Source organism: Homo sapiens, chromosome 3 (assembly GCF_000001405.40).
Source record: "Homo sapiens chromosome 3, GRCh38.p14 Primary Assembly".
NCBI classification, from domain to species: Eukaryota; Metazoa; Chordata; class Mammalia; order Primates; family Hominidae; genus Homo; species Homo sapiens.
This window is the reverse complement of record NC_000003.12, coordinates 184347117-184368627: the sequence shown is the minus strand read 5'-3', so window position 1 is coordinate 184368627 and position 21511 is coordinate 184347117. Positions and strand designations below refer to the sequence as shown.

At 54.8% G+C, this 21511-nt stretch overlaps 2 protein-coding genes and 1 long non-coding RNA gene across 32 annotated transcripts in view, besides 8 other annotated features; 1 reads left to right on the top strand and 2 right to left on the bottom strand.

Moving 5' to 3' along the window:
* Positions 1–36: 36 nt before the first annotated feature.
* POLR2H (RNA polymerase II, I and III subunit H) lies at positions 37–6918 on the bottom strand. Of its 24 annotated transcripts, none has more exons than NM_001278699.3 (6): positions 6482–6918; positions 5054–5755; positions 3579–3662; positions 3402–3495; positions 1828–1911; positions 37–451 (listed from the first exon to the last, which is right to left on the bottom strand). In NM_001278699.3, the coding sequence occupies exons 3-6, from the start codon at positions 3625–3627 to the stop codon at positions 334–336; spliced, it is 345 nt and encodes a 114-aa protein (NP_001265628.1). In that variant the 5' UTR covers positions 3628–3662; positions 5054–5755; positions 6482–6918; the 3' UTR covers positions 37–333. The 24 variants fall into 24 exon arrangements, with proteins under 24 accessions (NP_001265628.1, XP_006713729.1, NP_006223.2 ...); XM_006713666.4 differs by having other exon boundaries at positions 37–515; positions 5063–5755; NM_006232.5 differs by having other exon boundaries at positions 5063–5755.
* Positions 4479–4548: an enhancer, noted in NCBI's record as "active region_20911". NCBI's record gives its function as "activates an Ori minimal core promoter by ATAC-STARR-seq in GM12878 lymphoblastoid cells {active_cell/tissue: GM12878}" and the evidence as "EXISTENCE:reporter gene assay evidence [ECO:0000049][PMID:35858748]".
* Positions 4909–5028: an enhancer, noted in NCBI's record as "active region_20910". NCBI's record gives its function as "activates an Ori minimal core promoter by ATAC-STARR-seq in GM12878 lymphoblastoid cells {active_cell/tissue: GM12878}" and the evidence as "EXISTENCE:reporter gene assay evidence [ECO:0000049][PMID:35858748]".
* Positions 5249–5428: a silencer, noted in NCBI's record as "silent region_14967". NCBI's record gives its function as "represses an Ori minimal core promoter by ATAC-STARR-seq in GM12878 lymphoblastoid cells {active_cell/tissue: GM12878}" and the evidence as "EXISTENCE:reporter gene assay evidence [ECO:0000049][PMID:35858748]".
* Positions 5489–5758: a silencer, noted in NCBI's record as "silent region_14966". NCBI's record gives its function as "represses an Ori minimal core promoter by ATAC-STARR-seq in GM12878 lymphoblastoid cells {active_cell/tissue: GM12878}" and the evidence as "EXISTENCE:reporter gene assay evidence [ECO:0000049][PMID:35858748]".
* Positions 5829–6098: a silencer, noted in NCBI's record as "silent region_14965". NCBI's record gives its function as "represses an Ori minimal core promoter by ATAC-STARR-seq in GM12878 lymphoblastoid cells {active_cell/tissue: GM12878}" and the evidence as "EXISTENCE:reporter gene assay evidence [ECO:0000049][PMID:35858748]".
* Positions 6659–7248: a silencer, noted in NCBI's record as "silent region_14964". NCBI's record gives its function as "represses an Ori minimal core promoter by ATAC-STARR-seq in GM12878 lymphoblastoid cells {active_cell/tissue: GM12878}" and the evidence as "EXISTENCE:reporter gene assay evidence [ECO:0000049][PMID:35858748]".
* Positions 7023–21511, top strand: part of CLCN2 (chloride voltage-gated channel 2) — a 15421-nt gene continuing 932 nt past the window's right edge. For 2 of the 7 annotated variants that reach the window (NM_001171089.3, NM_004366.6), the window contains exons 1-22: positions 7023–7211; positions 9497–9653; positions 9815–9946; positions 10318–10446; positions 10533–10666; positions 10772–10849; positions 10930–11008; positions 11141–11266; positions 11362–11446; positions 11534–11635; positions 12850–12934; positions 13099–13254; positions 13655–13724; positions 13970–14080; positions 14314–14527; positions 14833–14966; positions 15206–15378; positions 15481–15595; positions 15818–15891; positions 16132–16185; positions 16297–16335; positions 16511–16615. In NM_001171089.3, the coding sequence (NP_001164560.1) occupies positions 7149–7211; positions 9497–9653; positions 9815–9946; positions 10318–10446; positions 10533–10666; positions 10772–10849; positions 10930–11008; positions 11141–11266; positions 11362–11446; positions 11534–11635; positions 12850–12934; positions 13099–13254; positions 13655–13724; positions 13970–14080; positions 14314–14527; positions 14833–14966; positions 15206–15378; positions 15481–15595; positions 15818–15891; positions 16132–16185; positions 16297–16335; positions 16511–16615 (2415 nt within the window). In that variant the 5' untranslated portion in view covers positions 7023–7148. Of the gene's footprint in view, positions 7212–9496; positions 9654–9814; positions 9947–10317; positions 10447–10532; positions 10667–10771; positions 10850–10929; positions 11009–11140; positions 11267–11361; positions 11447–11533; positions 11636–12849; positions 12935–13098; positions 13255–13654; positions 13725–13913; positions 14081–14313; positions 14529–14832; positions 14967–15205; positions 15379–15480; positions 15596–15817; positions 15892–16131; positions 16186–16296; positions 16336–16510; positions 16616–16838; positions 21266–21511 lie in introns of those variants that run through there. The other 5 variants (XM_011512401.2, NM_001171087.3, NM_001171088.3 and 2 more) reach the window with 5 other exon arrangements.
* Positions 7317–8301, bottom strand: LOC124906311 (uncharacterized). Its single transcript, XR_007096193.1, has 3 exons — positions 7871–8301; positions 7678–7764; positions 7317–7409 (listed from the first exon to the last, which is right to left on the bottom strand). It is a non-coding gene; the product is annotated as an uncharacterized LOC124906311 (long non-coding RNA).
* Positions 8366–8877: an enhancer, noted in NCBI's record as "H3K4me1 hESC enhancer chr3:184077539-184078050 (GRCh37/hg19 assembly coordinates)". NCBI's record gives its function as "activates a minimal SCP1, AML or CMV promoter by ChIP-STARR-seq in naive H9 embryonic stem cells {active_cell/tissue: H9 hESC(naive)}" and the evidence as "EXISTENCE:reporter gene assay evidence [ECO:0000049][PMID:30033119]".
* Positions 8878–9391: an enhancer, noted in NCBI's record as "H3K4me1 hESC enhancer chr3:184077025-184077538 (GRCh37/hg19 assembly coordinates)". NCBI's record gives its function as "activates a minimal SCP1, AML or CMV promoter by ChIP-STARR-seq in naive H9 embryonic stem cells {active_cell/tissue: H9 hESC(naive)}" and the evidence as "EXISTENCE:reporter gene assay evidence [ECO:0000049][PMID:30033119]".

Sequence of the window (21511 nt, the reverse complement as noted above, 5' to 3'; positions counted from 1 at the left end):
TGGCTGTGGGCCAGAAACAATACACCACAGACAAACTGGAAAAAACGATTTTACAGTAAATGGACTTTTTACAAAAAGGGGAGGGGCAGTCTGAAAAAGTAAAGTTTAATTTAAAAATCATATACATAAAGCTTCTGATTCATTTTCAGCTCTCCCACTGTGTCTTTCACAGGCGAGTCAGTTTCCCATTGAGTGGAGGCCAGTTAAAGATGCCGCCACGGTGGACAGTGAGCCAGCCCTTCCTCAACAGGTGAGCAAGAGCGGCTGCCACTCAGGCTTGAACAATGCCCATGACCTGAGTGACTTGGCAGAGAGGCTGGCTTCAGGCGAGGTTCAGAAGGCTAGCTTCTTCATCAGGAGATAAACTCTGGAGTCCACCTCGAATCCATGCAGGTTGTTGGCATCCCCCTGCAGCCTCATGAGCAGGCCCCCATAGGACACGTACGCAGAGCTGAAACAGAAGGCCCCATCCCGTGATTCTGGAGCACTGCCACTCAGCAGCTCTCAATCTCAGCCTAAGAAAGAGAAGAGGCATCTTCCTACTGTTGTGTCACTAGGAACCAAAATTCTGACAAAGATCAATGCACAGGTATGTGCAAGGCACTGTTCCATCTCAGCCTAAGAAACAGAAGAGGCATCTTCCTACTGTTTTGTCACTAGGAACCAAAATTCTGACAAACATCAATGCACAGATATGTGCAAGGCACTGTTCTTTATATTATCGAGGGTGGAAAACACCTAGATGCCCCAAATCAGGGGAATGTTCAAATGAATCAAGACATATCCACTTACTGAAATGTTATGCAACTATTGAAACGTTTAAGAAAAGCTTTACACCGGCCGGGCACGGTGGCTCACACCTGTAATCCCAGCACTTTGGGAGGCTGAGGCGGGCGGATCACGAGGTCAGGAGATCAAGACCATCCTGGCTAACATGGTGAAACCCTGTCTCTACTAAAAATACAAAAAAAAAATTAGCCAGGCATGGTGGTGGGTGCCTGTAGTCCCAGCTACTCAGGAGGCTGAGGCAGGAGAATGGCGTGAACCCGGGAGGCGGAGCTTGCAGTGAGCCGAGATCGCGCCACTGCACTCCAGGCTGGGCAACACAGCAAGACTCCATCTCAAAAAAAAAAAAGAAAAGAAAAGAAAAGAAAAGCTTTACACTAACATGGGGAAACATGTTTTACATAATGTTAAGCAAAAAGAGCAGAAGAAAACATAATAAACACCACAGTCTCCAAGAAAAAAACAGAACACCAGGATATGCAAAAAAGTCTATGTAAAAGGTTCTCTCTGGATATGGAATTACAGGTGACTTTTTTTTCCTTCTTCACATTACTCTTCTGCATTTCAAATTACTTACAAAAAGCACATATTGTTTTAATAAGACTTTAAAGAAAAGAAAAAATAGCTGGACAGGAAAACCAAGGAACTAGGGATTGGGTTACAGAGTAGCCACACACACACACACACACACACACAGCCTTTTACAGAGTAGCAAAACACACACACACACACACACACACACACACACAAAGCCTAACAGTCTAATCACTTAATGCTGCATTTATTCCTGGGGAAGCAAGTCTCCTTTGCACTTTACACAGTGAGATAATCAGTTTCTCATGTGGACCACTGGGCCAGGAGGGCCTGACAAAGGGCAGTCTACATTTCAGACTGGAAACTGCTCCCAGAACTATTTCTTTCTAGTTCCCACCTCGGTCTGAGGTGCCTGAGGAGAGGGACTCAACAGAGGAAGCAGGAGCATAGCTCAAAGTCTCAGAACATGGAAGAGGAAAAGAATCCTCACAAGATTACGTAACTTACAGGCGTGTTGCTGCTTCAGTAGAAGTTTCATCTCCCTCAATCCTGTACACTTTTCCATACATTACATACTCAAACTGGTCAGCCCTATGGAGCAATAGCAGCAAAGTTATTCTTAACAGTAATTAACAATATAAAAGATCCCATTTAAAAATGGTTACTGGTCAGCCGGGCGTGGTGGCTCAAGCCTGTAACCCCAGCACTTTGGGAGGCCAAGGCGGGCAGATCACGAGGTCAGGAGATCGAGACCATCCTGGCTAACACAGTGAAACCCCATCTCTACTAAAAATACAAAAAAATTAGCCGGGCGTGGTAGTGGGCTCCTGTAGTCCCAGCTACTCAGGAGGCTGAGGTAGGAGAATGGCGTGAACCCGGGAGGCGGAGCTTGCAGTGAACTGAGATCGCGCCACTGCACTCCAGCCTGGGCCACAGAGCAAGACTCCGTCTCAAAAAAAAAAAAAAAAATGGTTACTGGTAACTAAATGCCAGCATTATAACAACAGGCACATTACAAACATGATGTCATTTAGTCCTCATGGCAACCCCATGAGCTAGGCATGACCATCTCTATTTTATTGATGAGGAAACAGGCTGAAGGAGATTAAGGTTACTCAACAAATAAGTGGTAGAGCTGAGAAATGAACTCAAGTGGGGTGCCAAAGTCTTTCCATCACACCAAGCTCCCTCCCAAGACACAAGACCCACATGGCCTAGGTCACTCAGCAGTTACCTCCTCAGCCTTCAAAAGGCTGCAACTCACAAGCATGTAATCACTGTTATAGATAAATACCTGGTTGTTTGAATTTTTTTCTTTTTTTTTTTTTTTTTGAGACGGAGTCTCGCTCTGTCGCCCAGGCTGGAGTGCAGTGGCGGGATCTCGGCTCACTGCAAGCTCCGCCTCCCGGGTTCACGCCATTCTCCTGCCTCAGCCTCCCAAGTAGCTGGGACTACAGGCGCCCGCCACTACGCCCGGCTAATTTTTTTTTGTATTTTTAGTAGAGACGGGGTTTCACCGTTTTAGCCAGGATGGTCTCGATCTCCTGACCTCGTGATCCGCCCGCCTCGGCCTCCCAAAGTGCTGGGATTACAGGCGTGAGCCACCGCGCCCGGCCCGAATTTTTTTCTTTTTTTTTGAGACACGGTCTTGCTCTGTCACCCAGGCTGGAGTGCAGTGGTGCAATCATGGCTCACTGCAGCCTCAACCTCCCTGGCTCAGGCAATCCTCCCACCTCAGCCTCCCAGGCAGCTGGGACTACAGGCACATGACACCATGCCCAGCCTTTTTTTTTTTTCTCTCTTCTTTTTTGTAGCAGTGAGGTTTCGCTATGTTGCTCAGGCTGGTCTTGAACTCCTGGACTCAAGCAATCCTCCTGCCTCGGCCTCCCAAAGTGCTTGGGTTACAGGTGTGAGCCACGGTGCCTGGCCTGTTTGAATTCTTAAGTGCAGAAATTTCCTTAAGGTTACTCAGATTCTGCTGATCATCATTTATTCCAGGAATTTTAGAAGAGTCTTTCTATATCACTTATCTACTTAGTCCTCAAGGCATATTTCAAGTATTACCTTCTCCACTCCCTCACCTGGAAGGCCTATCATCAGTGGGGTTGTATTCACCATCATCCAGGGTACCATCTTCATACAAGGTACTAGCTATGACCAACCGAAACTTGTCACCTGAAAATAACAGCAATATCAGAGAGTAAAGAATAGCAGAAGCAGCAAAAAGTCTCTTATTATTGTCTGTATTCAATACTTACCCAAGTCTACAGGGTAAATTTGAATGTTTACATCTAAGATTAGATCCATCTTGAAAGATTCACTCTCACAATGCAGTCGAGACACTGGGGAGAAGCAGGAAAAGAGTGACAGAGGTATTGCCAAGGCAGATCCTACAGTGTGGGATTGTATGCAACAGGATACTCAATCTAACCCAGTCTACATCCAGTGGTCTCTCATCTGCTCTCATAGAAATTCAGGCTCAATCAGAACCAGATATGCAAGAAGGAAAAGGGGAGAAAAACTGTGGCAAGCGAACGTAATCCCCAGAAAACAACCAAAGATACTCCAGCAGCAAAGCCTGCCTGGATGACTGAGAACCTGACTCTGGGCAAGTTATTCAATCATCCAAAGGTTTTCTCTTTCTATGCTAGGCACTGTGCTGAGGGGAGTGACCAAGATGTATAAGAACTGGTATCCGTCTTGAAAAACATCTTAGTCTCCAGGCAAAGAAAGAGACATCAAAGAGAAAATTATTGATAGATGACAAAATAAAGAGGTGTAGGCCGGTGCAGTGGCTCATGCCTGTAATCCCGACATTTTGGGAGGCCGAGGCAGGTGGATCATTTGAGATCAGGAGTTTGAGACCAGCCTGGCCAACACGGTGAAACCCTGTCTCTACTAAAAATACAAAATTAGCCAGGCGTGGTGGCGCATGCCTGTAATCCCAGCTACTTGGGAGGTTGAGGCAGAGAATCGCTTGAACCCGGGAGACGGAGGTTGTGGTGAGCTAAAATCGTGCCACTACACTCCAGCCTGGGCAACAGAGAAAGGCTGCGTCTCAAAAAAAAAAAGGTATATACCAAGCAGCTAACTCTAACTCAAAGAAGACTTCACAAAGCGCTAAAGATTCTGAGGGCAATACAAGAATATAGGCTCTGAAGTCAGATTACTCGCTGTGAAGCCTTGGGTGGTTTACTCAACCTCTCAGAGAAAAATGGGAAAGGCACCACCCACCTCATGAGGACTGTCATTTTTTTGAGACGGAGTCTCGCTCTGCCGCCCAGGCTGGCGTGCAGTGGCGCGATCTTGGCTCACTGCAACCTCCGCCTCCCAGGTTCAGGCAATTCTCCTGCCTTAGCCTCCCAAGTAGCTGGGATTACAGGCGCCCGCCACCACGCCAGGCTAATTTTTGTATTTTTGGTAGAGACGGGGTTTCACCATGTTGGCCAGGCTGGTCTCACAAGACAGTGTCTAGCACAGAGCAGGTAGCGATTATAAATATGCCTAGGAGTTTGCCAGCACCATGACAAAAGGCCACCCAGGCACCGGGCACGGCATGCGTGAAGCCAGAGAGAGCTCGGGAGTCTCCGTTTTCTCATCCATAAAATGTTTACTGAGGGAGGTCCCTACACCAGGACCTGCTGGTAGGGGCAGGCCACAAGAGCTGGGTGGACACGGGGCCCAGGGGCATGTCCGCGAGGTTAGCCTCTTCCTCCAAACCGCCCCTACATACCTTACTTACCTCGGTCAAACTTCTTGCCCTCCGGGTCAATATCCTTCACATCGAAAATATCCTCAAACAGGATGCCCGCCATCGCGAGGGGGCCACGAGAGCAGCAGAAGGGGTGAGAGCGCGACCACAGTTGGGAGTACGTGCACCCCCTAGCGTGGACAAGACCGGAGAGAACCAAAAGCACCTCCTGAAAGCGCGGCGGCCAGACGAGAGTGGCGCATGCGCACAAACAAGCGGTAACGCGACCACTTCCGCCACAGCCTCCCGCTCGGGGCTACTTAACTTCCGTCCCGAAAGATTGCTTCCGAGAGGCTTCGGCATTGAGGGCGGGTCTCATGTCCAGGTGGCTCTGCCCAGGGCGGGGAAGCAATAGGCTGTAGAGCGGGTTCTCGCGCTCCGCTGGGGCCCTACTGCGCCCTCTTCAGAGGCCGGGTTCCGAAGACTGGAATGCGTGGGGGCCTAACCCAGGCAGGGACCTTGATCCTTGGCCCAGAGAAGCCGGGCCCTAGCCCTACCCCGCCGGTCCGCGTGCCCGCCGAGGGCACAGTCCGCGCCGAGGGCAGGTGGAGCAGAACCCCGCCCCAGAGGTGCCCAGCCCCTCCAGCCGGCACCGAGGACCCCGGGGCCGGCCTGGGCCGGCTCGGCCCTGCTGGACGTAACCCGAGCCGGATCCGTCCAGTTTGGGAATTTGCCATGACGTCGCTATGGAGAAGAGGAAAGCCTGCATTGTCCCCTCCTCTCGTACTGCACCCTCCCACCACTGCCCTCCCTCTTCCCCCCAGGCCCTGCTCTCTTCCCCTACACCGCCCCTTCAGCCGGGCTCCCGCCACCCCCCTCCCCCGGGCATTACCCCTCCAGCTTAGTGCTGCGCGTTCCCCCTCCACTGCCTTCTCCTGGACACGGATCCCCTCCGTGCCCCTTCAGCCTGGCACTGCCCTGTCCCTTGGATACCAGCTCTTCCCTCACACTGGCCCTTCCTCCTGAGTGCTGGCTTCTATCACAAGGCCCCCCCTTCCCGGGCACTGCTCCCGCCCCCTGAGCCCCGCCTCTGCCTCCCAAATGCCCCTTACTCCTGGTGCTGGCTCTCCCGCACACTTGTGCGTTTCCTGGGCGCTGCCCTCGCTCCTCTCACACTATCTCTACGCTGCCCATCCACCCTGCGCGCGCTCCGCCCTCTGTTCTATCCTTCCCCAGCCCCTGATAGAGAACCCAGAACACCAGCAGGCAGTTCCCCCAAAGCGGAGGGATGGAAGCAGCGACTTGGGTTCCTCCTTGGGCCCAGCCAGGGAGAAGCGACCCACGCCCGCGTCCCAGGAGTAGACTTCCCGGCACCTGGAGCTCCCTTCCCTCCGGCCTACCCCTTCCGGTGCCCTCCCCAACCTCCACCCCCGCACACCCCGCAGGCCCGGTTGCTCCAAGTGCACCTACCCACGGGAGCCCCGAGAAAAGGAAGGATGAGGAAGACGGCCCCAACCCTCTCCGAATCCTTCCAGCTTTGCTTTTCACCCCTGACGGGGCAGAGGGGCCTTCCCAGGCCTGTCTGGGCCGCTCGTCTCTTCGGAGGGGCAGAGGGGAGGCGGCTCCTAACGGGCTGACCCGGAGGAGTCCGATGTAGACAGCTCCGCAGCCCCCAGCCCCAACCCCTACGGAGCTCAGGCGTCTGCAGCCCCTCCTGCCTGGGCACGGGGAACCGCGAACCCGGGCCGGCCCCTCCACGTGCCAGTAGACCCGCCCCTCCCGGGCGCCCCTCTCCGACCCGGGCATCCGCAGGGAGCCGGCGCGGGCTTGCGCCTTCCCAGCGCCCCTTGCCGCCTCTCGGGAGGCCCCGCGCGGACCCCAGCCTGGCTGGGCCGTCCCCTCCGGATGGGCCGGCGGGCGGAGCAGCGCAGAGGGCACCGCCCTCGGCCCGCCCGCCGGGGAGGGGACGCGAGCGGGAGGCTGCGCCAGCGGCGCCCGCCGGGGGCCCGCCGCACTCTGCTCTCGGCCTCCCGGGCTGCGGGGACGGGACGGCTGCCGGCGCGGACTTTGCGGGCCGGGAGCCGAGTCCAGGACAGAGCCGGAACCGCCGAGGGAGGCGAGAGGGCAGTGCGCGGAGATGGCGGCCGCGGCGGCGGAGGAAGGGATGGAGCCACGGGCGCTGCAGTACGAGCAGACCCTGGTAAGTGAAGCTGAGCTGAGCCCCAGGAGTGCGCTCCGGGACCCCTGCTCCAGGTTACCCTGGGAAGCGCGAGGACCAGGGGCCTACCCTAATCCTGTCCTAGCATTTTGAGCTGGGGAAACTGAGGCTTGGAAGTCTGAGGCTGCAGGGCCGAAGGGATGGAAAACTGCATGCTGGTTTCTGGCTGAGGCTGAGGGCCTGCAGAGGACAAGGACACCAGGTACTTGTCTCAGGTGTCCTTCCCCTCACCCCACAACATGCACGTTTTCTTTGCACCTCCCCTTCACCACCTGGGCCCAAGTCTCAGCACCCCACTGCCCCTTCCGCGGCACCATTCACACCATTGAACTTTCTCTACGCCACTATCTCCACCACCCAAGACATTCTCTGTGTCCCTGCCATGTGCATGGCACCATGCTAAGCATAGAATCGAGTGTGTAGAAAGATGGTCAGCCCCAGACCCTACCTCTGGAGGCTCCACACCCAGCGTTGGCTCCAGGAGCCCCTCAGTTGACTCTGGAAAAAGGTGGCTTGCCACTCTGGGGGACAGGAGCTTTAGGGAGGGTGGGTGAAGCAGGAATGGGTGTGGGAATTGGGACCTTTGTCTATGCTGATGCGGGGTATCCAGCCCCCACCCACCCCAGGGTGTGTCCCCTGACCTCATTAGAAGCAGGGGTCCTGGGCTCTGAGCTGACTTATCGCCCCCATTGTTACTTGGTGTTTGAGAAGCCACGTGACCCTCCTCATGTCACTGGGGTGGAAGACCCAAGCCCTAGGGAAAGGAAGGGGCCCGTGGTTCCTTTTTACCAGCTTGGGCTGGAATTTGCCCAGGAAGGTGGCAGGGAGGGAACGTCTTGGAGAGGAGAGGCTATAAGTCTGGGAGGTGCCCAGTTAGGAGAAAGTAGCTGGATGAATCAGGATGTCAGGGAGAGGTGGGAGTAGAGCAAGGGTAGAGGGGCCAACCCTTGGGATGGGGTAGGAGACACTTGCCAATCTGCCCAGACCAGGATAGGAGCATGGTCAAGGAAGCCAGGCACCTGGCCTCTGAAATGGTGCCTCTTAACACCAGCCACCTCTCCATCTCCGTCCCTTCCAGCTGTCTCTGGAATGAGCTCTCAGGGTCGAGCTCTGTCCCGGGCACTCTGTGCTCCAGCCTGCTCCCGCCCCCCTTCACCATCCTATCCCTTTGTCTTTCTCTCCCACTCTCACCTCCCTCCTCCTACACCGTGCTTGCCTCTTAATACTCTCCATTCTCTTCCTCCTCCGTACTTCTTCCTCTCTCATCCCCTTCTTTCTCTTCTCCATCCCTTCGCCTTCCCTCTCTTTTCTCTTCTACTTTCTCCTCTCTAGTTCCCTCTCTTCTCTTTGCTTTCCCTTTCCTATCTCTCACCCTCTCTCTGTCTCTATCTTTCCCTCCCTCCCTCCCCCCCATCCCAGCCCCAACAGGAGCCCTTTGTGTCCCGAAGCTCTGCGGGTGGCAGCCAGAATCTACTCCTCCCCGCCCCCCAACACACGCCCAGCTTGGCAGGTCTAGCCATGGTTCAGGCGACTCTCCCGTCCCATCACCCCAGCATCCACAGTCACAGCCCAGCCATCCTCAGCCTCCGCTGTCCCCCAACCCACCGCTGGGCTCAGTGCAGCTCCAGAATGGGGCTGAGGCCACCAAGCCCTCTCCACCCACCCTAAGTGAGAGGCTTTCCACTCCCAGCTGGGCTGGCAGGCTGGTGGGGGTGGCAGTGGAGAATGGGGACAAGGGGATTAGGGTGGGTGGGAGAGGTGCAGCTGAGTTGGTCACAGGCCGGAGGCCCAGCAGGAACGTGATAAGGATTGGGGCTGCGCCTGCTCCTGGGCCCAACTCAGCTGCCCCGAGCTCCACGAGGCTCTTATTGTTGCCCATGTGCCCCTGATCATCCCTTACTCCCTGGCCTTCCCGCCTCCCACTTTTAGACTGTGCCACAGGTTTTTCCACCTTTTCCTCTTCTGGGGCTTCCCTCTCACTCCTCTTCAGTGCCCCAGCCCCAGGCCTGTGAGAAGAGGACCGATTATTCTGCCACCCCCAGAGCTGTGTCCCTGTACCTTGGCTGTCCCCATCACTCTGGCCAGGACAGCCTCCACAGTCTGCAATGTGCATTGTTCCCACACCTCGGGCCAGAGTGGGAACTGTGCGTTCAAGAGGGATATCCAGTGTGGGGGCTGGGAGAAGAGGAGTGGAGGCTCTAAGAACTCTCCCTGCGTTCCCACTCAGCCCATGACCTCGAATGCCCCCATCCCCTCTGTTGCTCCAGATGTATGGCCGGTACACTCAGGACCTTGGGGCCTTTGCCAAAGAGGAAGCTGCTCGGATTCGCCTGGGAGGGCCTGAACCCTGGAAAGGTCCCCCTTCCTCTCGGGCTGCCCCAGAGCTCTTGGAATATGGACGGAGCCGTTGCGCCCGATGCCGCGGTGAGAACTGGGGTGGGGGCAGGGGACCTGGCTGTGCTGTGCTGAGGGAAGCAGAGGCCATTAGAGCTGCTGATGGGGGAGAGGGGACAGTTGAGGGGGCAGTAAAAGGGGTAGGAGCACTTTGGTGCCATCCTCCCCCTTCTTCCCTTCCCTGCACCCAGTCTGTTCTGTCCGCTGCCACAAGTTCCTAGTATCCAGGGTTGGTGAAGATTGGATCTTCCTGGTCCTGCTGGGGCTTCTCATGGCATTGGTCAGCTGGGTCATGGACTATGCCATTGCTGCCTGTCTGCAAGGTGAGGGTGACAGCTGGCAGGGGGAGGACTGGGAATAAACCTCCTGCGTCCATGCCACACTCGTCTAGACATGGAGGAAGGCGTCTTGGCTTCTTGGCCACTGACCACTTTCCCCAGCCAGTCTGACTGCCCAGATTCAGGCATCATCTCGGCCACTCCCACAGGGCACAGCTTCTTGCATCCCCTCTCCAAGTGATCCTCTTGCCTAGATTGCGCTTTGTCCCAGTGAATACCCTCAGGGACCCTTTCCTTCACCCATGCCCTGACTCTGTGTGGTACTCCCTGGGACAGCCTGTCGTATCAGCGTGGTCCACTGGCCAGGCAGGCAGTGGGTGTGTGCACTGGGGGTCCAGCAGGTCCTCTTCCCACAGCCCAGCAGTGGATGTCCCGGGGCTTGAACACCAGCATCTTGCTCCAGTACCTGGCCTGGGTCACCTACCCTGTTGTCCTCATCACTTTCTCAGCCGGATTCACACAGATCCTGGCCCCTCAGGCTGTCGGTATGTTAGAAGAGAAGGGGAGGGCAGAGGCGGGACCCCTGAAATGGGTGCATCGAATGCCTCTCCTGAGACTGTTCCCTCTCCAGGCTCTGGCATCCCTGAGATGAAGACCATCTTGCGGGGAGTGGTGCTGAAAGAATACCTCACACTCAAGACCTTTATAGCTAAGGTCATTGGGCTGACCTGCGCCCTAGGCAGCGGGATGCCGCTTGGCAAAGAGGTAACTGCAGGCTGGGGAATGAAGGAGTCCCTCCTGGTGGAAGAGGAGGCCAGGCCAAGGTCAGGGCGGGCCCCCTCCCGACTCACCGCCTGCCCCACCCCGCAGGGCCCTTTTGTGCATATCGCAAGCATGTGTGCTGCCCTTCTCAGCAAGTTCCTCTCCCTCTTTGGGGGTATCTATGAGGTAAGGGGAACCCTGGGGCAAGTAGGGGGCAGAGGCTGCTGAGCCCACAGCTGACCCCCTCTTGCCACCACTCTCGCCAGAATGAATCCCGGAACACAGAGATGCTGGCTGCCGCCTGTGCCGTGGGGGTGGGCTGCTGCTTCGCGGCACCTATTGGAGGTAGGCAGGGCTCCTAGGTCAGTCCAGCCCCACAACCCTGCCCTTGGCCTCTCCTCCTTGGCCCCTCTTATCTGGGTCTGAGGCCTTAGGCCAGGCCCAGGCCTCAAGTGCTGGTCTCCCTCCCCCTCACAGGCGTCCTCTTCAGCATCGAGGTCACCTCCACCTTCTTTGCAGTGCGGAACTACTGGCGGGGCTTCTTCGCTGCCACCTTCAGTGCCTTCATCTTCCGGGTCTTGGCAGTCTGGAACCGGGATGAAGGTGGGGGCACCCAGGGGATGAGGGCAGCCCGAGATGGTGCCAGGTAGGGGGCCCACGAGGCTAGGCCTGCCTCCCTCTGCTGTTCTTCCCTTTAGAGACTATTACAGCCCTCTTCAAAACCCGATTCCGGCTCGACTTCCCCTTTGACCTGCAGGAGCTGCCAGCCTTTGCTGTCATTGGGTGAGGAGCTGAGGGGGCTGGGGGTATCAGAGAGGAGGGGGGTTTCTAGAAGGCTCCTTTTCACTCAGGTGCCTCTTCCCTTTCCAGTATTGCTAGTGGCTTCGGTGGAGCCCTCTTTGTCTACCTGAACCGGAAGATTGTCCAGGTGATGCGGAAGCAGAAAACCATCAATCGCTTCCTCATGAGGAAGTGAGTGGCTCTCGGCTCCTCTCCAGGCTGCTTTGAGTTGTATAAGGGCCACAGTAGGTCAGGGGACAGTGATGGGGAGAGAATGGCCCAGTCAAAACAGGCACTTCACTGAGAAATCAGCCAGCAGTGTTTTCCAGGCTGACTGAGCATTTTTATATTCATATGAATTACCTGAAAATTGGCATTTTTAAGTTTATAGTCAGCGGTAGAGGACATTTGGGAATCAAAGACTAAGGCCTCCTCAGGTCCTCTGGGCTGGCCCATATAGGAATGCTCCCTGGAGAGTGTTTGAGCCTCAGGTTCCCCCCATGACCCATGGGGATAGATGAGATCTCTTTTTTTTTTTTTTTTTTGAGACGGAGTTTCACTCTTGTTGTCCAGGCTGGAGTGCAATGGTGCGATCTCGGCTCACCGCAACCTCCGCCTCCTGGGTTCAAGCGATTCTCCTGCCTCAGCCTCCCAAGTAGCTGGGATTACAGGCATGCACCACCACGCCCGGCTAATTTTGTATTTTTTAGTAGAGACAGTTTCGCCACGTTGGTCAGGCTGGTCTCGAACTCCCGACCTCAGGTCTGCCCACCTTGGCCTCCCAAAGTGCTGGGATTACAGGCGTGAGCCACTGTGCCCGGCCGAGATTTTTTTTTTTTTAATCTCCAGAACACAGCTCTCTCAGTGTGACCCTGAGGATTGGGAGTGGGGAGGGCGAGACATGACTTCCCTTGGGACTGACATCCTTCAGAGAGAGGGCAGCCAGCTGAACCTGCTCCCTACGCACCTCTGGTCAACTTTACAAGTGACCCCAGCTTCCCCCAACATTGACCTTCACTCTAAGTCACTGCAGAGAGACAAAGAGAGGCAGAAACTTCTCCACCCCATCACACAATATGCCCTGATGGGCTTCTGAGGGTGGAGGGTGGAATAACAACTCGGAGGGCCCCAAGGGAGGGCTTGGAGGATGGACTTTCTGCTGCTGCTACCCACCTACAGAGTCAGGGGCTGACAGAAAGGTCTTTGGGTCAGACCCCTGCTCTTAGAATAACCCCAGTCCACCATCAGCCTTGGGGCTATCGTATCATAAACAGCAAAGGAGACCTTCTGTCAGGACTGAGTGTTTTCATGAAAGAGCCAAGGCTCTGCTCTGACCTCAGCCCTGAGATATGCGAGGCCACCCAGCCCTTGGCCACCCACGACTGATGTGAAACCTACGACTCTAGACGCCTGCTCTTCCCGGCTCTGGTGACCCTGCTCATCTCCACGCTGACCTTCCCCCCTGGCTTTGGACAGTTCATGGCTGGACAGGTAACCACAGGCAGAACAGGAGTTTTGTGCTTTCCCTTGGAAGGCATTCCTCCAAAGCCAACAGCCCCAGTGTGACTGTGGGACCCCTTGTTCCCCGTGGGATCCCATGGCCTCTTCCCTTCATCCTGTCGGTTTCCCAGCCTGAGGCACCCTGTTCACTCTAGCTCTCACAGAAAGAGACGCTGGTCACCCTGTTTGACAATCGGACGTGGGTCCGCCAGGGCCTGGTGGAGGAGCTAGAACCACCCAGCACCTCACAGGCCTGGAACCCACCACGTGCCAACGTCTTCCTCACCCTGGTCATCTTCATTCTCATGAAGGTGGGCTCCTCACGTGTACACTGCTAACCTTTACATAGCTTGCCCTTCTAAGCACCTGCCACGCAGTGCTCACTCCTCGAAGCCTCTCCACAGTGCCATGGGAAAGGCACTATTATCACCCCCGTTTGAAAGATGGGGGAGTCGAAACACAAGTAGCTGGCCCAAAGTCACACAGCTAGAGGGCAGAGCGATGATCTGAACCCAAGCCATCTGCTTCCAGAGTCCTTCCCCTTGCCATCACCTGGGAGGCCTGGGGGTCCCAGGGTAGCTAGGAGGGTTACGGGGTGGCTGGGAGGGTTACGCCCACCTGATCAGCGAGGTAGACTTCTCCTGGGTGGCGCTGTGGGCTGCCTGGGGCCAGGTGGAGCCTCTTCGCCTTTGAACCACCCCCTGCCTGCAGTTCTGGATGTCTGCACTGGCCACCACCATCCCAGTTCCCTGTGGGGCCTTCATGCCTGTCTTTGTCATTGGTGAGTTCTCAGCTGCCTGCTCACCCAGCCTGCACCTTCCTCAGCCTCTGGCCACCCCCCCAGCCAACCCTCTGCCCAAGAGCGGGTTTTTGGTCCAGCCCTAGCCCGAACCCTGACCCCACAGGGCTGTGCCCTACACTGAATGACCCGTTGGCCCCTCCCTCACCCTCTGACCCTCTCTCTTCCTAGTGCCCCCTGCCCTCCCCCTCCACTGCCTCTTTCTCTTCCCACCCCCCTCCCTGAAGGAGCAGCATTTGGGCGTCTGGTGGGTGAAAGCATGGCTGCCTGGTTCCCAGATGGAATTCATACGGACAGCAGCACCTACCGGATTGTGCCTGGGGGCTACGCTGTGGTCGGTGAGTGCCTCAGGTCCCATCGGCCTTGGGAGACCCCCCCACCCACGCCCCAGCCACAGGGTCCGAGACTCTGGTGCCCCCTGCTGGCAGAAACCAGGCTTCCCTCAGATGCACAGGTCCAATCCCAGGACTGTATTGGGCAGCCCTGAGGGACCCACTCAGGACCTGCCCTGGTTGTGGAGGGTCTTCTGGGACCTGGGCACCCTGAGGAGACTGAGTGTGACTGTCCCCAGGGGCAGCTGCGCTGGCAGGAGCGGTGACACACACAGTGTCCACGGCTGTGATCGTGTTCGAGCTCACAGGCCAGATTGCCCACATCCTGCCTGTCATGATCGCCGTCATCCTGGCCAACGCTGTCGCCCAGAGTCTGCAGCCCTCCCTCTATGACAGCATCATCCGAATCAAGAAACTGCCCTACCTGCCTGAGCTCGGCTGGGGCCGCCACCAGTACGGAGGGCTGGGTGCCAAGGGGGCTGTGGGTGAAGGGCAGAGGGCATCCTAGATCCCCCTACAGCCACCTCTAGCAAGGTCCTGGAGCCTACGAAGCTGGGAGATGAGCCACCTTCGTCCACACTCTGGAGGGGCTGTAGCTGGCCCCTGCTGTTCAGAAAGAAGGGTGGGAGCACCCCTTGGTCCTTAGCTCCCGTCCCCATGGATGGGCTCTGGAGCCCTCCTTGTGGCCCTGGGATGGCAATGCTCTGGGCACCTCTCCCCATGCTGACCACAAACCAAGCGCCTCTCTCGGCCCCCAGGCAGTACCGGGTGCGTGTGGAGGACATCATGGTGCGGGATGTTCCCCATGTGGCCCTCAGCTGCACCTTCCGGGACCTGCGTTTGGCACTGCACAGGACCAAGGGCCGAATGCTGGCCCTAGTGGAGTCCCCTGGTGAGGCCAGGAGGGGTCCCAGGTGCTAGGGGCATTGCCCAGGGTCGAAGCTTCGGGAAGGGGCAGGGAGCTCAGGACCAGTCTCCTTGGTTCCAAAGGGAATGGACCAGCACTTGCCAGGTGGGGGCTTCCCTCTGGTGTGTGGCCTGCATGCAAGGCCCCCCACTCTGAGTGTGAGAGAAGGACGGGGCTGGAGGGCTCCCTCTCAGCTCCTGAGTCCTTCCACCTGTTCTGTCCAGAGTCCATGATTCTGCTGGGCTCCATCGAGCGTTCACAGGTGGTGGCATTGTTGGGGGCCCAGCTGAGCCCAGCCCGCCGGCGGCAGCACATGCAGGAGCGCAGAGCCACCCAGACCTCTCCACTATCTGATCAGGAGGGTCCCCCTACCCCTGAGGCTTCTGTCTGCTTCCAGGTGAGGGGAAAAGCCACAAACGCTTCCTAAATGTCATTGTGTAGACTGATTGGGAGGGTGGTCTGGGGCCGTGGCCTCACCAGCCCCTTCCTGCCTATGCAGGTGAACACAGAAGACTCAGCCTTCCCAGCAGCCCGGGGGGAGACCCACAAGCCCCTAAAGCCTGCACTCAAGAGGGGGCCCAGTGTCACCAGGAACCTCGGAGAGAGTCCCACAGGTAAGCCCATGTCTCCTGTGTCCACAGAGCCTCAGCCAAGCTACTGAGATCCATTAGAGTCCCTGCCCAGCCCTGTTGCTGGGGTACATCCCAGCTGGAAGAGGCTGCCCACATGGGCCAGGGCTGGAACTGGGATACCTCTCCCTGTGTCTTCCTTACCTTTCCTGGTCCTCTCCCCAAAAGATGACATTGCCCCCTGGGGCCTTATGTTTGGGAACACAGGGAGCGCAGAGTCGGCAGGCATCGCCCTCCGGAGCCTCTTCTGTGGCAGTCCACCCCCTGAGGCTGCTTCGGAGGTGAGTGGCTGGAGCCTGTCCTCCTAGCTTGCTTTTTCCCCAGCTCCCTCTCCAATGCTGAGACCACGTCATTAACCCTGCAGTGCCTGCCTCTATTCTCCCTGCCCTTCGGCCCTCCCTGCTGTCAGCTCAGGTCCTGTGGCGTGCCCTTTCCCCTGGGCTCCACCACTTCCCCTCACCTCCCCTCTCCCTATAACCTCAACTCCTCATCTTTCTGGTTTGGCTCTAACAAAACTGAAGAAGTTGGAATCCTGTGAGAAGCGCAAGCTGAAGCGTGTCCGAATCTCCCTGGCAGTAAGTATGCCTGCTCTTCTAGCATCTCGGCGGCACCGGGCAGGGAGGGCAGGGTCTAGGCTGGATAAACTCCAGAGCCCCTAGCTGCCAGCCTCCCTCCCTCTCTACTAGAGTGACGCGGACCTGGAAGGCGAGATGAGCCCTGAAGAGGTAAGGTGCCACTGGACTCTGGACCCTGTTTCTTCCTGGTTGTGTTCAATCATCATGTTGGCTGCTGTCCCCATGGGAGGGACCACGGGGTTGGAAAAAGGGCAGGCCAGCTTTCAGGGAGGTGAGGTCAGCTACAGGCACCTTCTCCCTAAACCTCATAGTCTCTTCCCCTCAGATTCTGGAGTGGGAGGAGCAGCAACTAGATGAACCTGTCAACTTCAGTGACTGCAAAATTGATCCTGCTCCCTTCCAGCTGGTGGAGCGGACCTCTTTGCACAAGGTAGGGCCAGCAGCCTGGCCCAGGGCTGGTCTAGGCTCTCAGGACACAGTGGGGATCTTGGTCCCCCTACAAGTTTGGACTCAGGCCAGTGGGGAAGGAGGGAGGAGAAGGGAGTTGGCTCAGTGCGGAGATGTTTTTTAGACATACTGCTTGGATGATGGGAGGTGGGAGCAGCCTCCTCCTGCTCTGTGGTGGAGCCAGGCATCGTTTTTCCTCTGCTCAGCCTTGCCCTCGAGGGAACTCTGGACCAACGAAGCAACAAAGACAGGGATTGAGCTGGGTGGAAGCCAGAAGGCCAGGCCAGGGTCAGAGCTAGGCGGGAGGCCACCACAGCCCAGCAAGGTTGATACGCCCATGCGGAAAAAAACGGGTGAGAAACAGGCAGGATAAGAAAATGCAATAAACAAGCCAACAAACATCCAAGTAGGGGTGGGGAGACTGCAGAGTAGAGATAAACAAAGATGAGAAACACCCAGTGGGGGGCTTGGAATGCCAGACCCCAGAAAGTCTGCCTTAATGTGGGCCGAAGGAAAACTGGTACGGACGCGGGAAGATGGCTCAGCAGAACTGCAAAGCAGCCTGCAGAAATGCGGCGAGGAACTGAGCAGACTGCCTGGGGTGGGCGAGGCAGACCCCAGAGGAGGCCAGGAGCTCTCTGCGTCCAGGACTCCTAAGGGGGGCAGCCTGCATTGGTAAAATGGCTCCTGGGACCAGCAGAAGCCAAGGGGTGTTTTAGCTAAACTTTTGACAGGCATAATGTACAAGCCTTGAAGCGTTGGGGGGTTTGGGGGAGGGGATAAGCAGCAGGTAGATGTACCCAAAACCTGCAGCTTGGGCATTCAGCTTACACACAAGCTCTGCCTAAGAGCCAGTATAGCATGGACAAGCGGAGACTGAGGCAGGAAGCATAGGGGACAAAAGAGAAACAAAAAGGCAAAAATAAAGGAACTTAGAAGTCCTTGGATGAGTGGCAAACTGCAGTGCAGTTGCAAGAAAAAAGGTAATAGGCCTGAGAGGGCTTTTATCTAAAGCCCTTCTTCCCAAAACCTCTGAGGCCTTTCCACAATGATCTTACTCCTCAAACATCCATGATGATGATCATGCTGACATTTTTCGAGTGCTTGCTATGTGCGAGACACTGTGCTAAGCTCTTCAACTGTTTAATCATCACAAGCACGCACTTAGATATTGCGATCCTCCAGTTTTTATAGATAAGAAAACTGAGATTCAGAGAGGTTGAGCAAGTTGCACAAGGACACACAGCTAATAAGTAGCAGAACTGGCGCAGTGGCTTACACCTGTAATCCCAGCACTTTGGGAGGCTGCAGCAGGTGGATCACTTGAGGTCAGCAGTTCGAGACCAGCCTGGCCAACATGGTGAAACTCCATCTCTACTAAAAATACAAAAAATTAGCCAGGCGTGGTGGCAGGCACCTGTAATCCCAGCTACATGGGAGGCTGAGGCAGGAGAATTGCTTGAACATGGGAGGTGGACGTTGCAGTGAGCCGAGATCATGACACTGCACTCCAGCATGGGTGACAAAAGCGAAACTCCATCTCAAAAAAATAATAATAAGTAGCAGAACTGGGCCTGGAATCTAGGATGGTCTGACTCAAAAGCCTGTGGCCTTAACCATATTAATACACAGGGAAACTGAGGCATGCAGCGAGGAGGTCACGTGCCTGAGTCAGCACAGCAGAGTCAGGCCCAGAGCCCAGATTTCCTGGCCCTGCTCCCAGGATTCTTTCAGAAGGCCATGTTGTCCCTCTCCATGTCAGTTCACTGTTCCCAGGCCCAAGAAGTATGGGCCCTCCAATGGGTTCCATGATGTCTAATTGAATTAAATGAAAAAGAACAAAGTAGATATTTGTTACAAACTTAAAAATCAGAAGAGAAGAAGTCTTTGAGGAACCAACTAACAAAAGTACAAAGAACTAGAAGTGATAAGAACATAAAAGATTAGAATTCAAAATGTCCTTACAGGCCTGAGGAATCAATAGGTAGTCGCCCAATTAAGTTCAGGAGGGGAACATTCAGATAAGAGAGAGAAAACACTGGAGACTACTTAGGAACCCGTGCAACTGGAGATCGCTGTGCCGGCTAATAAGTAATTCATTCAGAGGCCACCCACGGAGAAGCAATGGTAAAGGCCAGAGTGGCGGCCACAGCTAGGGCCAGACCAACTGAACCCAAATCCTTACTCTGCCACATGCTGGCTTGCTGTGTACCTTGGTAAGTTTCTTAGCCTCTCTGTGCTTCACTTTCCCGATCTGTAAAATGGGGATCACACCTCACTGGGTTTTCTAAGAATTAAAGGACTTGAAACATGTGAAGCACTTACAATAGGGCCTAGCACACAGTAAATACTCAATATATGTTAGGAATTACTGTTACTACTCCTACTACTTATACTGAGAGATGAATTTTAAAAGATAGCATATGCTGGGCATGGTGGTGGGCACCTGTAGTCCAAGCTACTCAGGAGGCTGAGGTGGGAGGACTGCACGAGCCCAGGAGTTCAAGTCCAACCTGGGCAACATAGTGAGACTGTCTTCTAACACAAAAATTTTATTTATTTATTTATTTTTAGACGGAGTCTCACTCTGTCACCAGGCTGGAGTGCAATGGTGCGATCTTGGCTCACTGCAACCTCCACCTCCCAGGTTCAAGTGATTCTCCTGCCTCAGCCCTCCCGAGTAGCCGGGATTACAGGAGCGTGCCACCACGTCTGACTAATTTTTTATATTTTTAGTAGAGACAGGGTTTTACCATGTTGGCCAGGCATGAGCCACTGCGCCCGGCCCAGAAAATTTTTTTAACTAAAAAAAATTGTTTAAAAAAAATACTGTAATGAGAGAAGAGCTGAAGTGTGGAAGAAATGAATGTTTTCAGAAAAAGAAGAGTGATTATGTGAAGCTGCAGGCTGGAAGCTGGAGTACACAGTAGAATGTGAGGCTATAAAGACAGGCTGGGGTTGGCTTGGGAAGGGTCTCATGGGCCTTCTAGGGAGTCTGGGCTGTACTCAAGTTTGACAAAGGGCATAGGATAAGCAGGGCCAGACTGGAGGGAAGGGAGGCAGAAAGAACCCATCAGGCTGTTGCAGCCCCAGTCTTAGTGAGGATAGTGAGGCTACAGTCAGTAATGGCCAGGATGTTTAGGAAGTGAATTGGTAAGGCTTGGTGACTGTCAGGGGCAAGTGGTTTGCAAACCTGAAAGGCATATCGCCCGCCAGAAGCTCACCTGGTTAGGATTGTGGAGAAAAAGAAAATTCAAGGGAACTATTTAATAGGCTCCTTGGGAGAAGATGAGAGGGGTTATTTGACCATAAGAAGACAAGGCTAAGGGATTAGTAACATAGGAAGCCTTATAATAAAAGCGTTTCCCTCTGAAGTCAGACAAGGAAATTAAAGCTAACTTGTAGCACGTAGGACTCCAGTTAGCCAGAAGGAATCGCTAACCACATGACAACTGTGTTATAGGTATTCAAGAAACACAGAAGAACTTTTTTTTTTTTTTTTTTTTGAGACGACAGCGTCTCACTCTGTCACCCAGGCTGGAGTGCAGTGGCACGATCATGGCTCACTATAGCCTCTGCCTCCTGGGCTCAGGTGATCCTCACAACTCAGCGCCCCCAAGTAGCTGGGACTGCAGGCATGCACCACTATGTCTGGCTTTTTGTGGAGACAGGGTTTCGCATATTGCAGGCTAGTCTCAAACTCCTGGGCTCAAGCATTCTACCCGCCTTGGCCTCCCAGAGTGCTAGGATTACAGGCATGAGCCATCGCGCCCAGAAGAGCTTATTCTAAAATTGAACTTCTTGCCCCTCTAAGTACTGTCATGCCATGGGTGGAGAAATTTAGGAAAGTTCTGGAAATCCCTCCCTAAAGAATTTCAAATGTGTAAGAACATTTAAAAAGTGTTAAGGCAATTTAAGTGAGTTCTGAGTAATTGGTACACAAGAAGCTGTTATTACTGCTCATCTTGATTCAAACATTAAGCGAAGAGGCTTACAAGTAAACTCAGAACAGTGAGATAAATGATAGGCCAAAAATTCCAGGAACTGCTGAGTCAGGAGAGCGTTTTTCAAGACATCTGGCCCCAAGAAAATCTACTTAAAGCATAAGGAGAACTGGCTGACAATTTCTGAACCCCTGGTGATTATATGTGAAAGCTTAGGGGAGGGCTTAAAGCAAGAAAAACATGGGAAGATGGGGGTGACCGTTGTCCTCCTGGACTGCAAGCTGCATCTCAACAGAACTTGGGATGCTGCTTGGACCCTAGAAAAGGCAGACTGTATGAGAGGCATAGCGTGCTTCAGGCCAAGACTGGAATGCCAGAGCAGGGGAGAGAGACTCCAAACCTGGCCAGCCAGGTAGGAGGGCAACTGAGAAGCAGTGGAACGAGAGGCATAGGATTCAGGGCCCAAGTGCCCTTAAGGTCGGTGTGGGCTCTCCCTTCTCGGTATATCTGCAACTAAACAGGACTGGGGTTGTGCGTCCCTCTCCGGTGTGATGAAAAGTGACTGGGGCTGCACAGCCACTCCTGAGGACCCGCCTGGAACAAGTCACTTCACTGTTGAGCCCCATGCTGCTTCTCCTAATGCTTAGTTCTCAGGACAGTACTGGAATTAAATGATAATGTAAGACCTAGCACGGAGCCTGGCCAATCACTAGATTTCACGTGTGAACAGTTGTTCTGTCCCACGTCCCCCTTTCTAACATGGGACTAAGAATTACTCCCCCATCCTATTTCTCCGTCAGTGTAAGCAATATAAGGATTTTGAGTATCAAGTTCCTGAGGCCTGGACACAGAAACATTCTCATTATTATTACGATTGTTATTATTTTCCCTCCAGCAGTCCTGTCTCCTTCCCTCCCAATCTGGGGCACCCCTCC